Genomic DNA, 25,911 nt, shown 5'->3' with positions numbered 1-25,911 from the left:
AATTCCGATTTTTTCGTATTCTTGCCAACACTTTTTATCTTTTGTTTTACAACAATTTTTGATTAGCAAAATCCTTACCTAGTATTTAAAATCTTGAAGAAAAGAACCACCATTTGACTTCTTTTGGGTCACCTTTCCTTATTAGTACAGTGTTTAATAAATAAAGATAGTTTAATTTGACTTGGTTTTCTCAAAATACTTCTTAAAATAGCAATCCCCATAATTTCTTCCATACTCTGGAGTCTAGAGCTATGGCTGTTATGCCTATTCTAAGTTCTTGGACTAGCCTGATACTCTGGAAAAAGAAATGGACTACTGAACTAAAATCTTTTCATTCAGTATTATTTTGGTTTCATAGCTGATATTGAATGGACTCTTCTTCCAGTGGTCAGGATCTAGCCTTCTAACACACAATCTAAATTCTGAACAACCGCTATTCCCTATAAATGGAGTTGTAGCTGTTGGCTATTGACACGTAATAAACATTCTCCACATTTAGTAGCCCAAATCAGTATCATTTATTAAGTATACAATTCTATCAGTCAGCAATTTGGAATAAGAAGTCCTGCTGGTCTTGGTTAGATTTAGTCATGAATATGTGATCAGCTAAGGATGGGCTGGACAGCTTCAGAAAGTATGAATACCCTTGTCCCACAGAGTCCCTTGCTCTCCAGCAAACTTCCCTGAGCTTATTCACCTGGCAGCAGGAAGAGCTTGAAGAGAGCAGGAGGAAGCAGGCAAGCTCTTTTAATGTTTAGGCTTGGAACCAGCTGATATCACTTCTGTGATACTCTGTTGGCTGAATCAAGCCACAAGCTGTGAGGCCAGCCCAGATTTAATAGATGGAAAAAAAGGCTCCACTTCTCAATGAGAGAAGTGAAGACTCATACTGAACACAGCATGGATACAAGAAGGCAGAAATAATGGTGTCTATTTTTATAATCAGCCTTCTACATGACATTTTTTCTTATTTTGTTTCATGCCTAAAATCCCATCTTGACACTGTGTTCTGAGAGTCCAGGTTATCCTGCAATGTTGTCATGGCTCAATCTAAATACAGATCCATTCTCCAAAGCCAGCCTCCATGGTTTGCTTTCCTACCACCTGTACTGGTAGTTTGCTATGTCGGTTTTGTGTTTCCTTTTATTTACAGTTGACATGTAATAATTATACATATTTAAGGGATATGGAGTAATATTTGGATACATGTAAACAAGGAATAATGATCAAATCAGGGTAATTAGAATATCACCTCAACCATTTACCATTTATTCATGTTGTGAACATTCAAAATCCCCTTTTCTAGCTTTTTGAAAATATACAATAAATTAGAGTTAACCATATTTTCCCTATAGTACTGAAGAACACCAGAACTCATTCCTCCAACCAGGCAGTAACTTTCTATCTGTGAACCAACCTCTCCCTGACCTCCCTTCTCCATGCCTTTCCCAGCCTCTAATACCCACAATTCTCTCTACTTCCATGAGCTCAAAATTTCTTTCTTAACTTTCATATATAAGTGAGAACGTGTAATATTTATCTTTTTGTGCCTGACTTAACTTTGTTTAACATAATGTCCTCCAGGCCATCCATGTTGAATGAGAATGGCTATTGTCAAAAAGACAAAAAATAACAAACGCTGGTGAGGATACAGAGGAAAATGGTTCCTTATAACTGTTGATGGGGATGTAAATTAGTACAGCCATGATGAAAAACAATATGGAGGTTTCTTTAACAACTAAAAATAGAACTATCATACTATCCAGCAATCCCTTTACTCTGGGTATTTATCCAAAGAAAAGGAAATTAGTATGTCAAAGGGATACCTGCACCACATGTTTATTTCTTCCCTATTCACAACAGCTAAGATAGGGAAATAACCTGGATGCCCAACAGCAGATAAATGAGTAAAGAAAATGTATATATACACAATGGAATACTACTCAGCCACAAAAATGAACATGATGTCAGTTTTTCATTGGATTATTTCACACTGTGACCTCCTCTGTTTTCCTCCTACCTACCTGCTCACCAATGCTCAATGAACACAGTTCATTTATATTGTGCAACAGTGATTTCATTTATTCTGTGGATTTTAGCCATGTCTTTTGTCTTTCTTATCATTGAATGAGTCTCTATCATCCAACTAGTAGAGGCATACAATAAATGGTTGTAAAATGGTCTTGTCATGAAGAAAACAGGGAAGTGGCAGGCAGAGAACTTAGAGGGAAAGCACAAGCAATGACTAAATAGTGACAACAGAATAAAATGCAGCAGGATCTTTAATACTAAGGTTTTATTGCATTACTCTCTCCATAGGAGGCAATAAATCATGAGTTAGCTGGACTGACATCAGTCCTGTCAACCACTATTTCTACAGTAACCTATGAGAGGAATAAGAGCCTTGTAGTTTGATTCCTTTAGTAATTCCCAAGTCAAGGTTGAGATGAGATGATGCAGAGTGACCTGGAAATAAGAATCAAACTAGCCTATGTAAGTGCCAAACCAAAAATGCTGCTTAATGGAGCCTTTTTTTTTTCTCAAAGCCCCAAAGAATAAATGTTATCAAATATAGGTTCTTTCATTTGCAGATTGTATAGCAGCTGTCAATTTCAATATGGAAAGGTAGAGGACAAGGAGCTGTGAAAAGCAGGTATTTTATATTTATGGATGGTTCGGGAGTCGGAACAATTCAGGTCTAATTACATTTTCATCATGGACTCACTTTATCAGAACCCTGTGGCCTGAAATATGCCTGCTTAATGGATTTATTGTGGTGAACCAGAGAGTCATTTTCAGTGGGCCAGAGAATGATTGATGTAAGCTTCAGGGATACAAGTAGATTTTAAACCATTTATTAACCAATGAAACAAATAGATTTACGGACAATTTAAAGAAGAAATCTGCTAGAGGGAGGGGTTGCAGCTTTTCTCTCTGAACAGTGATTTCTTGTTGACTTGATACCAATGCAGGGTCAAAAACAGAAAGGTAAAACTACTAAATAAAGGCCCCATCAGGAATTAAGATGGTCAAGATCATGCAGCAACGCCAAACTCAGAAAAATTAAAGCCAACGGGGAGAAATGGGAAGGCAAGAAACTAACAGGGAAGGGTAGGAGCAAAACTCAGACATGTGTTTCCCAGACCCGTAACACAAAAGCAAGCATTTCTCAGGCCCAAACCCTTCATGGTCACTATAGAGCTTGTGGAACTCTCAGGGTAGGAACGTTAGCAATTTGTCCAACTACAAATCATATTGATTTGTATCAGCCACTCAAATAGTACAACCATGTGAGTATACCAAAAGCAAATGAAAATCCAAATGTAGATGAAATGACTTGTAAAATTTTTTATAGTTTTCTTTTTAGACATGGATCATTATAATATGATGGACCCTTTTCTTAAGAACTCTCTAAATTATTGATGGTTTTAATGTAGTTATTTTGTCTCTTTTTCATTTGATAATGAACAATTAGGAAAACACCAGCATTCAAAGAGAAACGAGTCTTCTCCTATCCCTAAACAAAAACAGTAGTATGCTTCATCGTTTTTCCATTATATACACATATGAGAATTTCTAGTTCAGGATTTTGTCAGTCTAAAACATCCAGTATTTCAGAAATAACATTATTGAACATAATTACTGAAGCCAAACCTATTCCCAACTCAGTGAAAATAAACTATTATTATAAATAAGTACGATATAATAAAATAAAACTATGAAAACAACCAAAAACTTGCTAGCAGACCATAGGAAAATCCCTTAAAATTTAAAAAAGAAATTATTGACAAAATTTAAACTTCCAGTGTTCCAATTCATGTGTGTATATATGCTAATTGATTATTATCATTTTTCAGAATATTAATTTATTTTCCTGTTTGGTTACTGTGTGATGCAAATAAACTTCAAGGAAAAATGATTTTGTGGTCTTTAATTCAATAATAGTATCGGTATCTGATTAAAATATGCTTAAGTGGAATGGTTGAGAAGGAAACAGTCTGAAGAGGATTTCATTTGAAATATTTATTACCACCATCTGTAAGATATGTCTTTCTTCTTCATCTTTGTTCACTGCCTGAAACCAATAAATCTACTGGAAACGAGACATCTTTTGTTTCCTTGTTGGCTAAGTATTGAGTTCATGTTTGAGAGGAATTCTTTACTTTCAGATGTATTATGTTCAGGCTAAAGGGTTTCAGACCCATAGTGGGAAAAGCATAATGTCCTTAGCCTTTTAAAAACTGTGTTCTTTGATCAGAATGATATGAGTTTGTTTACTTATGCATAAGAATTAGAAGGGAAAGCACAAAACTGGAAATAATCTATGTGTTAAAATGGTGAGATTAGTGGAAAGCCTTTCTTCTCTTTTGTCAAGTCATTTTAAAAGCTGTTGGAATATTGATTTGTTAAGAAAAATAAACTCTATTTGTAATATTCTTTAGATATATAAAAATGATAATTCTTTTATTTCAGTTGTCTTAAAGCTATAATTAAGTAATTATTATATCTTAAAATAAAATGAAAACCTTCGTATTGCCAAAACAAAATGTATAGGCTGTACATAATGATAAATCATATAGTTGTATGTGTATACTTTTACCACATTTAACAATAAACCAGATTTCCAAAAACTGCTATAATAACAAATTCCCAAACTCTAAATATAAAAATAGACTCAGATCCAAAAGACTTACCCTTAAGTCCTATGTTACAGCTACAGGCTTACCTCTTTTACTTAGAGTCGATTAACTCCTCCAAAGTTTGTTATACTCTGTAAACTGTTTTTTCTAGTTTTCCAATCCATGACAGATTATAAGCAGAGGCTGAAAGGATTTGGGAAAGGAAGGTGAGTCAGGGGATAATGAAAAATGCAAGAAAAGAAATCGCTGACACTTCGGCCAGGATAAGAGAGGGCTGTATACTAAATCATTACCATAAGAACAGCAACACCAAAAATATCTAATATTTACCAAGTGTTTCTTTTATACTCAATACCAGGACCTAAGTGATTTGCATGGGCAATTTTATTCTAATACTTGCAACAAATTAATGGGATATATACTGTAATTATTTTCGTTTTATATATGAGGACTCCAAGGCTCAGAGATGTTAAATAGCTTGCCCAAGGTCACAGAGTTAGCATGTTACAGAGCTGGAATTTGAACCCAGACACGTGAAGGCTCAAAATACAAATGGCTAATCATACTAATGATGTAATTGTACAGAAAAGTATGTATATGTACTTAAAAATTATTCATCTTTGCAAAAAACGTAATGTATACATGTGTAAGTTTCAGTTAGTAGAAAATCCATGTATGTGGGTACTCAATTCCTAATCGGTGAAGCCTTGCTGTTTCTCTCCACTCTCTCACTAATTTTTACTTCTAAGCTAAAATTCAACTCCTGTTGAGTAAAATTAAATGTTATTTTTAACAAAATGTAATTACAGTGCCCAGTATTTTTCTTTGTAGACATTTTGAATTCTTTCAAAAATTTCCAGAAACATGATTACAGTTCTCTCAAGGGTTTTTAATAATGTCTAAGTAGATGTTCTAGTATTAGCTTGTAAAATGCTGAGTCAAAAACTAAAGGTAATTTAGTCTTGAGAACTTTTGAAAGAGTTATATAGTTAAGTCACCTCAGGGCCATAACTATCTGCTAGTTCTATCTTGTTATAGGTTTAAAAAAAATACAGTAGTGTTTTCTCTCCTCAGCCATATAAAGAAACTGGCAATAATAAAAAGCATGGTTGTGTTTGTGTAGTTGAGGGTTTTTCAAGCACTAAAGCTTTTCAAAGCATATCTACCTGACAGGCAAAGCTCTTTGTGCATTGGTAGGTTTGTCAAAAGTTATTGCCAAGGGCACCCTTGAGTATAGGGAGTTGACTCATCTCATTGGAGTTGATTTGCTTCAAGCTTTATTGTGTTGAATAGGTAATCTTTCTAACATGCCATTTGCCCAGAGTTTTCTGCAATATATTCTGACAATTTTGCTACTCCAAAGAGAAAGCCAATTGGTTTAGACCTGGTCTGAGTCTCTTTAAAAAAAGAGTGTGGGCAAAAAGACATTCCCTAGTAGAGAAGAACATAACTCACACCCTTATAGAGAAGAACACAACCCACATTTGGCAAAACATTCCAATTTCTAAGCACTGTTGGGAAAACAGAACACGTTTTACTGCTGGAATCAGCATAGTCAGATATGGAAGACTGACATGTAGGTGTGTATTATTTAAATTGGGTTCAACATCTAACTGAAACTGGCATCCAAAGCCAATGAAAAATAATAAAACTTGTTCTTTAAAACAAATTCCAAGCTACATGATCTGATATTTGTGGTGGAAGGGAGAAGGACATAAATAATAAAATTTATTGATAGTATTTGAATGGTTTTCAGCTCATAAACTGAGCTCACCTGTTTATTAGAAAGAGAAAGATACAAGACCTTTAAAAGTTTAAATTTGCTACCATCATTGACACTCATGTTGAGAGCAAAGTGAGATATCATTACTTGTATACAGTACACAGAACTGGGCATCAGAATGACACACACTTCACCTTTTGGAGCCTCAGGAATCTACTCTGTAAATTGAGGAAACTGAACTAGTTTGGTGGATTAAATGCTTTTCTTAGCATTAGAAATCTTTGTTTACATGTAATCTTACATTGAAACACACATACACTCATGCATTGATATGGTTTGACAGTGTCCCCACCCAAATCTCACCTTGAGTTGTAATAATCCCCAAGTGTAAAGGATGGGGCCAGGTGGAGATAACTGAATCATGAGGGTGGTTTCCCCTATACTGTTCTCTTGGTAGTGAGTAAGTCTCATGAGATCTGATGGCTTTATAAATCAGAGTTTCCCTACACAAGCCCTCTTGTCTGCCGCCATGTAAAACGTGACTTTATTCTTCCTTTGCCTTCTGTGACGCTTGTGAGGCTTCCCAAGCCACGTAGATTGAGTCAATTTAAACCATTTTTTCTTTACAAATTACCCAGTCTCTGGTATGTCTTTATTAGCAGCATGAGAACATTCTAATACATGCACACACACACACATACACACACACATGCACACACACACAAACAATTGGTTAAATTGGATCTGTGATTGAAGCAGAGCGGATTCACGGAACTCATTCCACTCTATCTTCCCCTAAACATCAAGGAAGCCTCCCAAGAAATATGTAGCACAGAGGGAAACCACTAGACTGGATAATCTCAAAGGTTTATGATTCTGTCATTTTTGTTTCTGCCTGTAATATGGATCTGCTGTGAAATGAGAACCCCATATCTGCATAGAAAAAACAGCTGGCCACAAGTAACTTGTATAAAAATACAGGTAGTCACTTTTATTTCAGTTGCCACCTTTGAAGCACCATAATTTTGGGGATTGAATTATCCTTCTGAATCATAGTTTCAGCTAATAACTTCTAAGTCTTCTTGTTTGTTCGGTTTTCAAATTTAAGGAACCGTCACCTGTTACCACAGCATAACTCAGATTCTCTCAGGAAGGCACAAAACCCCTGAAACTAACTTATGCTTGTAGCTATGCTTGCTTACAGAAACAACAGTCAGATGCCAATAACCAGGAACCACCTGCAGGACAAGCTAAGCCCAGAAATGCTGCCTTCACCTGAACTTCTGCCTCAGTGCGAGACCTGACCTGATTTCTTGCCTCTTTCTCATACCAACATTTCCATCCAGTGGGGAGAAATGTACCTTGCTGGGTGCAAAAAGTGCCAATGCAAAAGAAAATGCAAGACTGCGCATACTTAACCCCTCCTGGAAGAACAAACTTTTTTCAAGGAATCCCCACCCCTGTCTCCACCTACCTGCCCAAAAGTCCTTAAAAATTTCCCTTTACTCTACTTCCAGGGAGAAGGTGCTTTGAGCATGAGCTCCCGTTCTCCATTACTTGATCAATGAATGGAATTTCTGCACTGTTTTGCCAAACCTGGTCTCCTTATATTAGTGTGAAAGGCACCAGGCACGGGGAAAAAAAAAAACCATCAGGGTCAAGGGAGGCCCTTTGAGGGTCAGTTGATAAGGGGACTACATGAATTTTTTTTTTTTTTTTTTTTTTTTTTAGACCGAGTCTAGTTCTGTCGCCCAGGCTGGAGTGCAGTGACGCGATCTCGGCTCACTGCAGCTCCGCCTCCCGGGTTCACCCCATTCTCCTGCCTCAGCCTCCCGAGTAGCTGGGACTACAGGCGCCCGCGACCATGCCCGGCTAATTTTTTGTGTTTTTAGTAGAGACGGGGTTTCACCATGTTAGCCAGGATGATCTCGATCTCCTACCTCATGATCCGCCCGCCTCGGCCTCCCAAAGTGCTGGGATTACAGGCGTGAGTCACCGCACCTGGCAAGATTTTTTCTTGTTTTTAATTCACATCAAGGCATTCTATTAAATTTAGTAATGTTTTCCAAGAGTTTTCTCAATGCTCTTATGCTCAGCTTCTCCGGAACTTTCATACAAAATGAAAATAGTTTTGCTGATTATTGGTTGCAATAAGCTATAGGGAAGAGTACAGATCTCTGGGCTGAAAAGGGATATCTTAGGGCCTGAAGTTGTGCCATGGGATTAGCAAACTGGATGGATATCATTTCTTATTAGATATTTATTAAAAATGCCTGGGGCTCTTTTAAAAGCTACCAAGCACTCAAGCTCTGCTCACCCCAGACAAATTAAATCTGAGTCTCTGAAGGTGTTCCAGTAGATAGATATTCTGTTTTATTTTCTTTGCTTGTTTTTCACATAAGTTCTAATTTTAGAATAATGTACCTTCACAAAAAGTTTCAAAGTCCGGAGAATTCTTATATACCCCATACCCAATTTCCCCTATTATTACCATCTCATATTAATACTTTCTTTTACAGTTAATGATTCAAAAGTCATATATTATTATTAGCTAAAGCCCATGCTTGATTCAGATGTTTTTAGTTTTTATCTAATGTCCTTTTTCTGTTCTAGGATCTCATCCCACATACCACATTACCTTTAATTATTATGTTTCCTTAAGTTCCTCTTGGCTGTGACAGTTTTTCATACTTCTTTGTTTTTGATGACCTTGACAGTTTTGAGGAGTACTGCTCAGGTACTATGTAAAATCTCCCTCAGTTGGGATTTGCCTGATGTCTTTTCTCATGATTAGATTGAGGTTACAGGTTTTTAGGAGGAAGACTGCAGAGAAAAAGTGCCATTCTTATCACCTCACATCAGGAATAAATGACATTTACATGACATTATTGTTGATGTTGACCTTGATCACCTACTTAGCTGAGGTGGTGTTTGTCAGATTTCTTCACTGTAAGGTACCCTTTCTTCTTTTTTATACTGCACTCTCTAGAAGAAAGTTATTATATGCAACTCACAATTAAGGGAAGGGGAGTGATATTCCAACTCCTTGAGGGGGAAATATTTACGTAAATTATTCGGAATTACTGTAATTGGGAGACTTGTCTATTCTCCCCACTTATTTATGTACATATTCAATCATCGGTTTATATCCACGTGGGCTCAAAATATTTACTTATACCTTGGATTATACTCCAATATTAAGCTATTTATTTTGCTGCTCAAATTGTTTCAGCTTTGACCATTGAGAGCTGTTTTAGTTGGCTTCTGTGTCCCCTTTATATGCTTCCATCATTTTGTCTTTTAAACACCAGCCAGGCACATCTTGCGTATTCCCTGCCCCAGCCTTAGAAGCAGCCATTTCTCCAAGAAGCCCAGGTTCCTTTTATTGGAGAATGGAACTGGAAACCAGTATCTGGGCACTTAGTGTGCTCACTGCTTCTGGGGTGTTATTGGTGCTTCTAAGACTTGTCAGTAGACAGAACTAGAAAATATATGTTGTATGTTTATTGCAGCACTATTTACGATAGAAAAGATTTGGAACCAACCCAAATGCCCATCAATGACAGACTAGATAAAAAAAAAAGTGGCACATACACACCATGGAATACTATGCAGCCATAATAAAGAATGAGTACATGTCCTTTGCAGGGACATGGATGAAGCTGGAAGCTGTCATTTTCAGCAAACTAACACAGGAACAGACAGACAAATGCTGCATATTCTCACTCATAAGTGGGAGTTGAACAATGAGAACACATGGACACAGGGAGGGGCACAACACACACTGGGGCCTATCAGGGGGTGGGGGGCAAGGGGAAGGAGAGCATTAGGACAAATACCTAATGCATGCGGGGCTTAAAACCTAGATGATGGGTTAATGGGTGCAGCAAACCACCATGACACATGTATACCTATGTAACAAACCTGCACATTCTGCACATGTATCCCAGAACTTAAAGTAAAATTAAAAAAATTAAAAATAAAAAAGTTTTAAAAAAGAAAATATACGTTGGCACTATTAACCTGTGAACACATACATATCTACATTAAAAGTAACCTGAATTCATACTGATGTCTCCTACTTGAATCCATTACTACGTGGACCATTGTACTTTTTTCCCCTTGCCCATCTATAACCTCCCACTTCAACAGTGAGAAATCTGGCACTGTTCAGCATCTATTTAAATACTTGTTCAACCCTATATACATGTAGAGTGGTTTCAGAATTGTTAGATTGTGCTTTTGTAGGAAGTAACTTTACCAATTAAAGTGCAGTGCTTATGCACACTTCCTATTGCCTTCAGTCTCAGCCTACTCAATTCCAAAAAAACTTAGATCAGCACCTTGTTTCTCTGCCTCCTTCAGTGCGGTTATGCATACTTTTGTAATACAGTTAGATTCCTTAGTCACCGTCTACATTCCATCTTGGAACCCTCTGACCTCCTGAATTGATTTTTTAAATTTACATATATTAAAGTTCAGCATTTGAGCTGTAAACTTACGTGGGTTTTGACAAGTGTTTAGTATCAAGTATACACCACTAAAATATAGCAGGGGGGCTTTCTGGAAGCTTACCATGAGATTCTAGTGTTCATCTAGCATTAGGAACCACTAGACTTTTCTGCCAAGTTCAGGTTCAGTTGTGTCCAACTTTAGTTTTTGTGTGAGCAGGATCGAGAAGACTGGTGTGTCTCTTACTGAGTAAACTGGCTAAGTTAGTTAACCTTTTTGTCCAGGTAATGTGTCCTCACATGGAGCCTCACAATACCTGCCTCAAGAGTTGTTAGAGGAATTAAATTGATCAGTAAAGATAAAGCACAGTTTAAGTGATGAAAAGCAGTAGGTATTTAGTTAATGTTAGCCATTATTTTATTTGATGTCCTCATAGTTTTTTAACATGACTCACAAAGAAAAAATTCAAAAAGCAAAGGCAAGAAAGCAGAGAGAAACAGAGAGAGAGAGAGAGAGAGATCTTTTCCTTTTGCTTTCTAACTTTCATGCATTCTAGATTAGACATTTACTAGGTTGCTTCCCCATAGAATCATTTGCGGTTATATAACAGTCCTAATGTCCAGTCTGCCCTCAGAATCACTAAATTAGAATTTCTGATGGTGGTGGTGGGGTAGAGAAAATAGCTTCAGTAGTTTTTTAAAAGATCCCCAGGTGATTTCAATGATGTCTTAGTTTGGGCTGCTAAAACAAATATATCACAAACTGGGTGGCTTTAACATTTATTTCTCACCGTTACGGAGGCTGGGAAGTCTAAGATCAAGTTGCTGGCAGAGCTGGTGGCTGGTGAGGGGAAATTCTTGGTTTGTTTTCTTGTTCTGTCTTCACCTGTCTGAGAGGAGAGAAAGAGGAAGTGAGCTCTCTCATATCTCTTTTTATGAGGGCACTAATCCCACTCATGAGGGCTTTACTCATGACCCAATCTCCTCCCAAAGGACTCACATTCAAATACCATCATAGTGGGGATTAGACATCAACATATGAATTTGAGGAGGACATAAACTTCCATTCTATAGCAAATGTGCAGCCAAGTTTGAGAACTACTAAACAGAGTAGACAAGTTTCACCTTTACTACAATTTCTCCAGATTCTCTGACTCACGGCTTTGAAAAAGACTCCAGAATATGATGAGAAAGAGCAGCTTGGCTGAATGTGTACATGAAGGTTAGAAAAAGAGTTTCATAGCTGTGATGAGTAATTTTCGTTGTGTTTCCAAATCCAATTCTTAGCACTGTATTTCATTTGATTAGCTCAACACAGTCAAGGTGAGGGCAACTTAAGTGTATTTGTCTCCCTCGGGTCTTCCTGATCAAATCTCTGGCTCTCTCTCTCTTTCTTCATTGTTTCCTGTTCCAGATAGTGGCTTTCCCCATTCTTGATGACATGTGTTTATGCCTTAATGATTATAGGTATAGCATTTCATTTGCACCTGGTCATTTCACCTTGTTTCATGGTGAGCAGGTATATAAAAACCTACCCCCGAAGGCTGAGAGGGAGCTGAGAGACCAAAGAAAGAAGCTGACAAATAGTTTCTCAGAAAGAAAATATTCAAGAGGGGCTTACAAATGAAAGGAATGTCTTGGGTGGACTGGAGATGGTAGATCTCAGCTCCAGCCTTCCAGAAAATTTTCATTTCTGTAGAAGTTTTTAGCATAAAACATACAAAGCTGGTCACATCTCATGCTTTCTTGTTACTGAGGAAGTTAGATAAGCATCTTTCTGAGGGGTGATTTATGCTGTAGGCACTGTTTTAAGACCCTGCTGCAGAATAGCTTGATATGCAGGATTCAAATGTCTGTCATCATCATGGTTTCTTTTCAAGACAGTGTCACTCTTGTCATGCCACAGGCTGCTTTCCTGCACACCTGCCTGGGGATGATATGAATATATTTTTTCCGTCTGCCTTTCTTCCCTCCCTTTCTTCCTTTCTTCTCCTCAGCATTTCCCAAACTATGTTCAAATAATTTAGTTTAATGTGAGATGTTAAAAGACATATTGAAAAAGAGGGCTGCCATAATCAAATACCTTTTAGAAAATACCATATCCTCTGTCCAACATCTGCAGCACATATTAGCATGTTAAAGACAAGGTGATGTTTGTCAATGACTTAAGTTGATTTACATTAAATTGTCCATACACATTTTTTGAGGAATACTTTTGGAGGTGGTGAGAAAAAGATGAACACTTCTTGTAAAAAGTTTTAGTCCATGCTGCTACAGAGTAGGAAATACTTATTTACTTATAATTACATAAAATGCAAAAATTTACTCCTTTCTTCTACCTGATGCAGTTTGATGTAATTTAAAATGTGAAGCTCCTTACACTCAAAATCCTATTCCAAACTGCTTCATAGACTTAGAATCACATTAAAATTTGACAAGCATAGTTTTAAATATTCATTTATTCATATTCAGGCCTGGTATGGTTGCTCATGCCTGTAATCCTGGCAATTCGGGAGGCCAAGGTGGGCAGATCACTTGACTCCAGGAGTTTGAGACCAGCCTGGGCAACCTAGTGAGACCTCATCTCTACTAAAATTCAAAAGAATTAGCTGGGTGTGATGGCTCATGCCTGTAGTCCCAGTCCCAGGGGACTGAGGCAGGAGAATCGCTTGAACCTGGGAGGTCAAGGCTGCAGTGAGCCATAATCATGCCATTGCACTCTGGCCTACACAACAGAGTGAGACCCTATCTCAAAAAAAAAAAAAATATATATATATATATATATAATATTCAAAATGCAGTGACTACCTACCATTTTTCAGGCACTTGTATGTATTGATTCATCTTATTGATTCTTTACATCAACCACGTAAGATATTATTCTCTTGTAAGGAGAGGACAAAAAAGACAAATAAATGGAAGTATTTGTCTAAAGCAGGATTCTTCTCCTTGGCGCTGTTGATATTTTGGGGCAGATGAGTCTATGTTGTTGAGGAGCCATGATGTGCGCTGTAGGACGTTTAGCTGCATCCCTGGCCTCTACTATCACATGACAGTAGTGACCGCCCCTTCCCCCTCAAGCTGTGACAATGAAAAGGCCTGTATACATTGTTAAATGTTCTCTGTGGAGCAAAAGTACCCCATCAGTTGAGAACCATTGGTCTAAACCCATGCAATGAATAAAATGCCAAAGTTAGTGCTTTTAGTTTCCTTTCTAGACATTTATCTACTTCTCAAAGACAATGCCCTTATGGTTCAAGACCCATCACGCATAATCACTTGCCATGCCCCTTCTAAAATGTCATTATCTTTATTACATGATGCAGTATCTCTTACTGGTTAGCCCAGCCAGTGCAAATGACCCGAGACTGAGTTCCATTCTCATGTAAAAAATTGATGTCGGCTAGAGGAACAAATGAGAGCCACAGGCTCTTGTCTTGAAAATGTGTGGTAGGGGTGTAAACTGGAATGTCCAAATGAATCCTTGTGGCTGCTAAAACAGATGGTAGGTCAGTAATTTTGTCTCTGGATATAGAGCAGGACACTATTATTGGAGCTCCACAGTGTGGTAACCTCCTAGAGTATGTGCCATTTTGCAATCTGGCATCTAGTTTCTTTATCATTATTAAATCCTTTGCACACAATGACGATTATTAGATTTTTCTTTGTCTCTTTGGCATTTGGTTTTTCCCTTCTAAATGTTAGCCAGATTTCGGTTTCAGAAATTCTTTTTTTTCCTATCAGTTATGGGATTTCTCCTAGAACTATAATCTCATTTCATGTCAATCTCCTTAATTTCCTCATCACCTATGTTGTCTTCATTTACCTTTTTAAAGTCTTGTATCTCTTTAGCCCCTTGGGAACTTAATACTTGTCTCTGGTGTTTCTTCCCATTCTCCTTTATACACAGAGGACCATAGATCATTTTTTGTTTTGTAGACATAGGTGCTTCTTCTGTCAATAAATTACCTCCTTCCTGCTTTTGAGGAATCTGAATGCCCAACTACTATCTCCCCTCATCAGATAAAACCCATCTTTAACATTTGTATCTATAGGCAGAGAGAGTGAGGAGAGAGAGAGAGAGAGAGAGAGAGAGAGAATTTTTTTCTTAAAATAAAAAATAAATTCTCGGCTGATATTTCCTTCCAGGTAGTTTTCCTAGATAAAGGTAGAACAGTCCTGTTCAATCTCTTCTGACACTGAATTTCAGAAGACACCAAAGGTAGGGCCAAAATCTCTGAGTTGACTATGATGTGTTTTGGCCCAAGGCTGAGTTATGCGAAGTCTAGGAAATGAAAATTAAAGATGTGCCTTTCAGTTCTCTTGCTCTCAGTAGCTTTCCAGATGGGCCAGAAGTGTTCTGCAGCCCCGGAGCCAAATTGCCTATGGATGAAAGATACCCATGTGGCATAACAGGGAGGCTTGCTCCTTTTCAACCTCTTTGCACAAGTTCACAGGGACTGGAGATTCTTTCCTTTTAATCTAGAGGAAAAAATCCTCAAAATAGAAAAAGGCATCAATAGTTAACTCCCAGCTAGAGAGAAGAAGGTGATCTTTTATCAAATATTATTTGAGAGGTTTAGAGTGTTTCTTCACACTCCATAATCACTTTAAAAATCTCCCTCAACTACCTCTACTTATCTTCTTAAAGATTGCTTTCTTCTTTTAAACATGGATTTGGTCTAAAAAGTTCACTGCTGGAGTGAAAATATGTCTTACTGGTACCATCTTTGAACAACCATAATATTTCAGAGTAGTGTTTTCTAAAACTTTATTATAAAATGTAGTTATTTTAGTAAAAAGGAAGAAGGTCATTCTTAAACTGCTAAAAATGCACCTTCACACTTCTCTCTTCCAGACCTGCTCCATAAGAATTATGACGTGATCCTCTCCATCCCTATGGATCTATGTATTTTTAAAAATCCTCTGAGGCCTTGAAATATATCACCAGATTTAAGATTCACTATTTGGAAGATTCTATGCCTGGAAACAAAACTCTGGCATAGAGAATGGAGCTCCAGTACTATAGGGCCAGAGGAGAGGATCCGGCAATTTGCTGATTTCAGCATTTGCCTTGCACTGTGCCTGATACATTATTAGACAGCTAATTAATAATATCTGCTGGATGAAGAAATAATAGCACTAACACAATATGACCAACAGGAACAGGAGTAACTCTTACTTATTTCGACTAAGGAATAGGAGAAGACCTTCATATATTATATTATTTTATGTCATTCCTACAATACTTTTTTTTCCCAGGAAAACAATATTACTGACATTCATTTTATAGTGTATAAATTAAGGCTCAAAAAGGTATTACTTGACTACGAGTCAACTTGACCCAAGACTGTCTTATCTCCAAAATGTGTGCTCTTGCCTAGTATACTATACAGCTTCTCTGTCCCTCCCTTCCTGTCTCCCTTCCACAAATATTTATTGACTGCTTAGTATGTGTTAAGAATTCTTCTAGGTACTGGAGATACACAATTAAAAGTGGGCAAATAGCCTGTCTTATGAAACTTAAATTCTTATATGAACAGACAGAAAATACCCATTAAACATTATATATGTATATATAAAATATCCATTATACATCATATATGTACATGTATGATATTATTAATGTGTAATAAAATACCTGTTATACTATTATATAATCTAATGTATAATGGGTATTTTCTGTCTATATATGATTAATATAAGATATATTTTATTACACTATATATAATGTATAATGGGTATTTTATTACATATTATATTATTATATTATACATAATATAATCATATTATATATTATATATTAATTATAATCATATAATAATTAATAATTATGTAGCTATATATGTATTTAATATATTACATAATATATAATTTTATATATTATATATAATCCTCATTATATTATATTATATATAATTAATTATAAATATAATTATATATTCATATATTTTATATATTATATATAATATAATGAGATTATATATAAGTAATTATAACTATATATAATTAATTATATATTATATATTATATATATTATGTATATTATGTATAGATAGATAGATTAGATAAGGTGCTAAGAAGTAATAATCACTGTGGAAACTATGAAATAAAAGTGGAGCTGGGAAGTGGAATGAAGAGTGAGCAGATGTCAGGTTTACAAATGAACTGGTCAACATAGGCCTCATACAGATAGTGGCACCCAAACAAGAACTTGAAGAGGGAGAGGGAGAAAGTCATTCAGGAGTGTTCATAAGAAGCCAGGTTACCTAGAGACAGTCCTATGTTTAACGTCTCATTTTATTGGCCTAAATTTCCATTATAAGTAAGACCATGTCCTAGAATTAAGTAATTATACAACTGAATCAGACATTTATCTGAAAATTTATCTCATTCAGGCTCTTAGCCAAGGCAAACATTCATCCCATACCATTTTCCTCATCTCCTTCTCCTGCTTTATTTGTCCCCATGGTACCCACACTATTTGATGTATATTTTACATATTTATTTTCTTTCTGTATCATTAGAATGCACATACAATGAGAGCAAGACTTTCTGTCTACCTTGTTCACACATATAAAAAGTACTCAGAAGATAGCCTGACACAGAGTGGACCTAAATAAATATTGTGTAAATGAATCTTATACAAAGCAGCCAACAGCTTCATATATTGCTTGAGCATTTTCCATGAGGCTGTGTTCCCTGTCTCAAAAGGCATGTCATTCCACCGATGCCCTACTTTAAAAAAGAAAAAAGCTTTCCTTATATGACTTCAAGGAGTAAGAAGTGATGTGGCGAAGCCAGTAAGAAATGCAACTGTAACTCTGCATGTGCAGGTGCTATCTAATTTATCAATGAAGCGTTTCTTTCATCTTGGTACACATTCCTCATTGTCCCCATTTTGCTAAGTAGAAACCTCAAGCAATCACTCAGAAGACTAAACACCAAAGAGATTAAGAATTAAAGCATGAGTTCTCTGAGAGCAAGATCCGGGATGTGTATTCTAGGTCAATGACTGAAACTCAAACTCAAGACTGAAAAGATGACTGAGAAAACTTTCTATTTCCCCAATGTTAGAAATAAACCTTGACATCTTATTGGCTTAATAAAATTAACATTTCCTTCTGGTCACATAAATGTAGTTTTAGAACAGATGGTCTCCTTCCATCTTGTAGCTCTGAAACGTCTCTTTTTCATCTGTAAAACGATGGGGTTGATGATATGGGTATCTTTTGACTTCTTCCCCAGCATCCATTTTCCCCACTTCTTTTAGCATTGTGAATTTCCATTTGTAGAGAAACCATATGGTCTGGGTAGTATTGGCTGTACTGCCCAAAAAAAGAATGGACTCCGTGTGGCTAAAGTTAATCAGTGCATGCCGTCTTCTCATGATGGGAGTCATAAAGACTCCAAAAATGAGGCACATACTATAAACGGAAGAATAAACTAAGGGAAAGTGATGCTGGCCTTCATGAGCTTTTTGAACCACTAGATCAAGCCTCATCTGAAGCATGACATATATTTGAACTATTACTTTACAGAGATAATCAATTTCTTTTTTGCTTAAGCAAGTTTGAGCAGTGTTTTCTGTTGCTTGTAGCAGAAAGAATTCTGATACAGATGATAGAACTGATATAACCTCTGAAGTTCCTTTCAGCCGTAGAGCATTGAGCCTCCATTTTTGTTTTCTGATTGAGGATTATTTGGAATTAAACACAAAATAAATTCAAAAGGGCTGCCAGAGACAGATCAAGAGTACTCCAGAGAGATATGGCCAAGGTGAAGAAACCTTGGCAGAAAGCCTCTCTTAAGGCATATTCATCTGAGGAGAACTGATTTATGTTAGGCTCATGTCTGCAGTATTTTACAACTGTAATGGCCAGTAAATAAAAAGAAATTTTTTCTGTCAGCTTACCACCTCTCTTTTCATGAGTGGAAGAAGTTGAAGTGCTCCATCTTCTAAAAATTATATGAAGGTCAACTAGGACTCCCATTCTATCTTCCGCCTGGAGGAAAATGATTTTGCATTTTCAAAGTGTAATGTGGCATCATGTTACTATCTCTAGAATCAGTAACGCCTATGTTTTTAATAAATTCAAAAATACACTTAGGCTGTACTTCACAATGATGTTTGCATTTCAAATGCAAAGATTAAAATGTATTATATATTTGATTGCATTGTATTATACAACTTGTGGATAGTAGGCACCTTCTTTCTGTGTTCTTGGTTATTAATAACACTAGAGCGCAAAACTTCAGAAAACACTGTGAAAAATATACGTGTGTGTGTGTATACACACACACACACACACACATATATATATGGGATATTTCTTTTTCTCATTTTAGATGCAGACTTTTAATTTTTTTAGTTAAAAAGAAGATCACAGCTAGCTAATGATCAGGTCTCTTCAAAGCTGATCATTAGCTAGCTGCCTGCATTCAATTTATATTTTTTGAATTGAATAAAATTGAATTCTGGTTACTAAGTTATTTCTTTTAGTTCACAAAGAATTATCTGAAAACCTTGAAAAGGTAACACATGGGATAGTGCAATGTATTACTGTGGCGTGTGGTGCTTAAGAATAATTCTGAAGCCTGTTTTCAATTTCTCATTCTATCCCTTCCTTACTAGCCGTATGACTGAAGACAAGCCGTTTCTTTCCTCCGTGTCACATTTACTCTATTTCTAAAGTAGGGATGATAATAATAATAGTAGAAAGGGTTATTTTGAGGACAAAATTTGTGTTAATATGTATAAATACTTAGATCAGAAACTGGTACAAGTATTGCTATTTTGGTTCCTGATACCACATTTCCATTTGTGGTAGGTTTTTATGAATTTACTTCAGTTTGATAAAATACAATTGTGGAAAAAAAAAACCTAAGTGAAGACTCATACAGTAGTATGTAGAAATGAAAAAAAAAAAAAAAAATCATGTGCTGTATTGTCCCAAAAGGAAATAACAGAAAGAATGAAGGGGAAGCAGAATTTGAAGAGCAAATATTAAATACGGACATTTGTGTATCTTCTTTAGATAAATATCTTCTGGCCAGGCGTGGCGGCTCATGCCTGTAATCCCAACACTCTGGGAGGCCGAGTCGAGTGGATCACTTGAGGTCAGGAATTCGAGATAAATATCTGTTCATATTGTTTGCCCACTTTTTAATGGGATTATTTGTTTTTCTTTTTTCCTTTCTGATTTGTTTGAGCTCCTTGTAGATCCTAGATATATTAGTCTTTTGTCAGAAGTACAGTTTGCAAATATTTTCTCCCATCCTGTAGGTTACCTGTTTGTTGAATATTTCTTTTGCTGTACAGAAGCTTTTTAGCTTAAACAGGTCCCATTCATTTGTTTTTGTTTATGTTCCATTTGCTTTTGGGGTCTTATTCATAAATTCTTTGTCTAGGCCAATGTCCAGAAGAGTTTTTCCTAAGTTTTCTTCTAGAATTTCTATGGTTTGCAGCCTTGGACTTAAATCTTAATCCATCTTGACTTAATTTTTGTATATAGTGAGAGATGAGATACTACTTTACCCGACCCAGAATGGCCATTATTAAAAAGTCAAAACACAATAGATGTTAGTCCAGATGTGAAAAGGGAGTGCTTATATGCTGCTCCTAGTCATGTAAATTAGTACAACCTCTTTGGAAAACAGTATGGAGATTTCTCAAAGAACTAAAAGTAGATCTATCATTCAATTCAGCAATACCACTAATGGGTATTTACCCAAAGGAAAAGAACTCATTATACCAAAAAGACATTGGCATGCATATGTTTATCACAGCATAATTCACAATTGCGAAGATATGGAATCAACGTAAGTGCCCATTAACTGATGAGTAGATAAAGAAAATGTGGTATATACCTATACCATGAAATACTACCCAGCCATACAAAAAGAATGAAATAATGTCTTTTGCAGAAACTTGAATGGAACTGGAAGCCATTACCCTGAGTGAAGTAACTCAGGAACAAGAACCTAAATACCAGGTGTTCTCACTTATAAGTGGGAGCTAATCTGTGGGTACGCAGAGGCATACGGAGTGATAATAATGGTCAATGGAGACTCAGAAATTGAAAGGGAGAAGAGGGAGGAAGAATAAAAAGTTATCTATTGGTTATAATGTATGCTATTTGGGTGTCAGGTACACTAAAAGCCCAGACTTCACCACTATACAATTCACCCATGAACTTCACCACTGTACAATTCATGCATAAACTTCACCACTGTACAATTCATCCATGAACTTCACCACCGTACAATTCATCCATGAACTTCACCACCGTACAATTCATCCATGAACTTCTTCACCACTGTGCAATTCATCCATGAACTTCACCACCATACAATTCATCCATGAATTTCTTCACCACCGTACAATTCATCCATGAACTCCACCACCGTACAATTCATCCATGAATTTCACCACCATATAATTCACCCATATAACCCTAAATCACTTGTACTCCTAAAGCTATTGAAATAAAAATAAATAAGTAAATAAATAATACTTGGGAAGAAAATAATAATATGAATTTGAGGAAAGATATGTATTCTATGAATGATTCAGGATGTACAACAAATTACAAGCATACACACACAAAAAACAAAAGTAATTCAAATCTAGGCACATTATAGAGAAACTTCAGAATACCTATAGTGGATCTTAGAAGGAATCAGAAAAATTAGAGATGAATTTCAAAAGCCAGAAAGTTAAACATGTCTCAGTCTACATCACACTTCTACCCCAAAAACTTTGTAAATCTGCAAACCCATTTGATGTGCCAGCCATTTTCTTCAATGAAAAGAGACAGATTAAGAACACAGTTCAGACATAAAATATCAGGATTTGGTGGCTCATTACCCAGAGAGAGAAAGAAGAGAACAAAGATGACTGGAAGCTTTTGAACCAAGGCACTCAGGAGGCTATACTCTAAGACAAGAGAAGACAGCATGGGGTTGGCAAGGTTATGAGGTTTTACATGAACTAATGAGTTCGAGGAAATCTATGAGAATCCAGAGTAAAAGTCTCTTACAAAGAAGAAGCTTGAGCCTGAAGCTAAGTAGAGAAGTCAAAACTTTAGAAAAGATTTTGTAGTTATGAAGACAGAGTTGGTAAGTCAAGCTGTAAGGTGAGTGGAAGTGCTAAGACAGCTGGCAGATTATAAGAGGACCAAGAAGAAAACCTTAAGAAAAGTCTGAGATACACAGAAACAAACTGTTAGACACACAGAAGGAAACTGCAACTAAATAATTATAAGAAACAGGCAAGCCCGATGTCATATAAGCCTAAAGAATAAAGAGATTTTTAAAATACCTTTATTGTGTGGTTAGATTCAGTTAGGCTGTAAGAAAGTTCAAATTTAAATAGATTAAATCGTAAGGCATTTTTTAAAAACTTCAGAGAGTTCAGCTGTGTAAGTGACTATTTAGATAGCTTGAAATTGGCAAAGATTCAAAGTTCTGCAACATTTCTGCTGTGCCACCCTCAGTATGTGAGATTGTGGCTTTCAGATGCCTCAGTTCCAAGTGTAACACACAAACATGGCAATGCACAGTGAAAAATAAAATGTTTTACTTTTGTGGCTCTTTTTCTTCGCAGAAAACCTTTCCCAGACACAATGCCCTCACTGCCAATGTTCAATCTGTTTCACAGCTCATTGTCCAAGGCATAGTCAGATATTTATTCCCAAACCAATCAATGATAAGTGAAACGGATTTTACCTATGATTCATTTAAATTAATGAAGATCCATCATCTTTCCTGGGCATGTGCTGTAGCAGAATTGACTAAATTGGGACCATGATTGAAAGTTACCTGGAAGAAAAGGAAGGTTTTAGGTGGAAAACAAGAACATCTGATAGAACGGTCAGTAGGATGAAATGATAAATAGCAGTCAAATACGTTGGAAAATAGCAAGAAGCTGTTGGACTTGCTCTTAGACAGATGTAATTTAGGTTCCTTTCCTATTCCAGGCACTGCTGCATGTCTGGAATATAAAGAAGAGCAAGGCACACCTCCTGCCATTGAGTTGTAGTGGTTTAGAGAGTGTATTGCACTAAAATCTTAGCGCTGAAGACCAAATAGAAGTACAAACTGCTTATTTTATCAAGATGATTGCACCACAACAAATTTCCAAAGGAAAGAATGTCCTCAAAGATAGTACAAAACTCTATTTAAGAACATTATCTTGCCCAATTAACCAATCTTTTGTGAATCTTTCCTTCTGGTCCTAAAATATTTAGAGAATTTATCTAGATATCTCTGATCTGGAAGAAAGTAAAATCACAAGAAAATTTATCATTGATCATATTCCTTTTTACGTATAGTATGTGTACACAGTGACATTCTACTTGAGGAAATTGAAATAAAGTTTATTTCAATTCAACAACTTGTCTTAATGATATTGGGTCTAATACATGGTAAGTTGGGGAGAGTAATACATTTTTTGCAAGTAAATTTATAAGAAAGAGAAGAATATAATTTAAACAACTATGCAATCCATAAAGTCTCTCAAGCACTTTTAGATGTATATCTGAATCCATAAATATAGACTATTCTAACACTAAAATTTTAAAAAAATCAAAATTCAACACCAGAGATATTTTGTGTTGTTTATATTTATTTAGCCTCATGCAATTCTCATTGTTTGGTCATTAGACTAACAAACATTTTGTTGACAAAGTTAATTTTCAATATATTTTTATTACTTTTATATTATTATTTTATTTCCTTTTTCCGATGATTTTATTTTATTTCTCTTTCAACTTTTGTTTTAGTTTCACGGGGTACATGTGCAGGTTTGGTACATGCGTAGATTGTGTGTCGCTGGGGTTTAGTGTCTGAATTATTTCATCACCCAAGTAGTAAGCATAGTGCTTCATAGGTAGTTTTTTGACACTCACTCTCTTCTCACCTTCCCCCCTCAAGTAGGCCATGGTGTCTAATTTCCCATCTTTGTGTTCATGTGTACTCAATCTTTAGCTCTCACTTATAAGTGAGAACATGTAGTATTTGGTTTTCTGTTCCTGCATTGATTCGCTTAGGATAATGGCCTCCAGCTACATTCATGTTGTTGCAAAGCAAATTATTTTATTTTGTTATGGCTATGTAGTATTCCTTGATGTATATACACTACATTTTCTTTAACCAGTCCACCGTTGATGATTATCTAGGTAGATTCACTGTCTTTGCTATTGTGAATAGTGCTGTGATGAGCGTATGCATGCATGTGTCTTTTTGGTAAAATGATTTATATTCCTTTGGGTATGTACCCAGTAATTAGTCAAATAATAGTTCTGTTTTAAGTTCTTTGAGAAATCTCCACACTGCTTTCCACAGTGGCTGAATTAATGTACACTCCCACCAGCAGTGTATAAGCATTTCCTTTTCTCTACAACCTTGCCAACACGTTTAGTTTTCATTTTTTTGACTTCTTAGTAATAGCCATTCTGACTGGTGTGAGATGGTATCTCATTGCGGTTTTGATTTGCATTTCTCCAACGATTAGTGATGCTGAGCATTTTTCATATGCTTTTTGGCCACATGCATGACTTCGTATCTTCTTTTTTTTTTTTTGAGACGGAGTCTTTCTCTGTTGCCCATGCTGGAGTGCAATGGCACAATCTGACCTCACTGCAACCTCCGCCTCCCGGGATCAAGTGATTCTCCTGCCTCAGCCTCCTGAGTAGCTGGGATTATAGGCATGCACCACCATGCCCAGCTAATTTTTTTATTTTTAGTATAGATGGGGTTTCACCATGCTGGCCAGGTGGTCTTGAACTCCTGACTTCATGATCCATACCCCTCAGCCTCCCAAAGTGCTGGGATTACAGGCATGAGCCACGGCACCTGACATGTCTTCTTTTGAAAAGTGTCTGTTCCTGTCCTTAGTCGGTTGTTTGTTTTTATGCTTGTTAAGTTCCTTATAGATTCTGGATATTACACCTTGGTCAGACACAGTTTGTAAATATTTTCTTCCATTCTGTAGATGATCTGTTTACACCATTGATAGTTTCTATTGTTGTGCAGGAGTTCTTTAGTTTAATTAAGTCTCACTTGTCTATTTCGTTTTTGTTGCACTTGCTCTTTGAGCCTTCATCATGTAATCTTTGTCAAGACCTATATCTAGAATGGTATTTTCTAGTTTTCTTTTGGGATTTTTATAGTTTTAAGTCTTTCATTTAAGTCTTTAATCAATCTTGAGGTGATTTTTGTATACGGTGAAAGAAAGGGGTTCTGTTTCATTCTTCTGCATGGCTAGTCATTTATCCCAGAATCATTTATTGAATAGGGAATCCTTTTCCCATTGCCTGTTATTGTTGACTTTGTTGAAGATTAGATGGTTGTAGGTGTGCAGCTTTATTTTTGGGTTCTCTAACCTTCTCCATTGGTCTGTGTTTCTGTTTTTGTACCAGTATCGTGTAGTTTTGGTTACGATAGCCTTGTAGTATACTTTAAAGTTGGGCAACTGATGTCTCTGGCTTTGTTCTTTTTGCTTAGGATTACTTTGGCTATTCAGGCTGTTTATTGGTCTATTAACTTTAGAATAGTTTACTCTAATTATGTGGAAAATAATTTTGGTAGATTGATAGAAATAGCATAGAATTTGTAAACTGCTTTGGGCAGTATGACCATTTTAACAATATTGAGTCTTCCTACATGAGCGTGGAGTGTTTTTCCATTTGTTTGTGTAGTCTCCGATTTCTATCAGCAGTGTTTTGTAATTCTCATTGTAGAGATCTTTCACCTCCCTGGTAAGCTGTATTCCTAGGTATTTTATTCTTTTTGTGGCTACTGTGAATGGTATTGTGTTCTTGATTTGGCTCTCAGCTTGGACTTTACTGCTGATAGAAATGCTGCAAATTTTTTAATGTTAATTTTGTATCTTAAAACTTCACTGAAGTTGTCCATCAATTCTAGCAGCCTTTGGGCAGAGACTGTGGGGATTTCAGGGCATGAATTATATTGTCTATAAAGAGAGATAGTTTGACTTTATCTCTTCCTATTTGGATGCCTTTTGTTTCTTTCTCTTGCCTGATTGCTTTAGCTAGGAATTCCAGTACCATGTTGAACAGGAATGGTGAGTGTG

General features: G+C 36.3%; 2 long non-coding RNA genes across 20 annotated transcripts in view; one reads left to right on the top strand and one right to left on the bottom strand.

Moving 5' to 3' along the window:
* Positions 1–25,911, bottom strand: part of LOC105376944 (uncharacterized) — a 246,298-nt gene that overhangs the window by 7,467 nt on the left and 212,920 nt on the right. For 6 of the 19 annotated variants that reach the window (NR_188698.1, NR_188697.1, NR_188706.1 and 3 more), the window contains 3 exons: positions 18,730–18,820; positions 11,606–11,704; positions 4,727–4,823 (listed from right to left, as the gene is read on the bottom strand). This is a non-coding gene — a long non-coding RNA (uncharacterized LOC105376944). Of the gene's footprint in view, positions 1–4,726; positions 4,824–9,001; positions 9,187–11,605; positions 11,705–18,729; positions 18,821–22,544; positions 22,638–25,911 lie in introns of all 19 variants that reach the window. The other 13 variants (NR_188694.1, NR_188693.1, NR_188700.1 and 10 more) reach the window with 5 other exon arrangements.
* GRM7-AS3 (GRM7 antisense RNA 3) overlaps positions 1–25,911 on the top strand; it is a 173,092-nt gene that overhangs the window by 76,177 nt on the left and 71,004 nt on the right. The gene's annotated exons all lie outside the window — the stretch shown is intronic.

This window comes from Homo sapiens, chromosome 3, assembly GCF_000001405.40.
Source record: "Homo sapiens chromosome 3, GRCh38.p14 Primary Assembly".
Lineage (NCBI taxonomy): Eukaryota > Metazoa > Chordata > Mammalia > Primates > Hominidae > Homo > Homo sapiens.
This window is presented reverse-complemented; position numbering and strand designations above follow the sequence as displayed.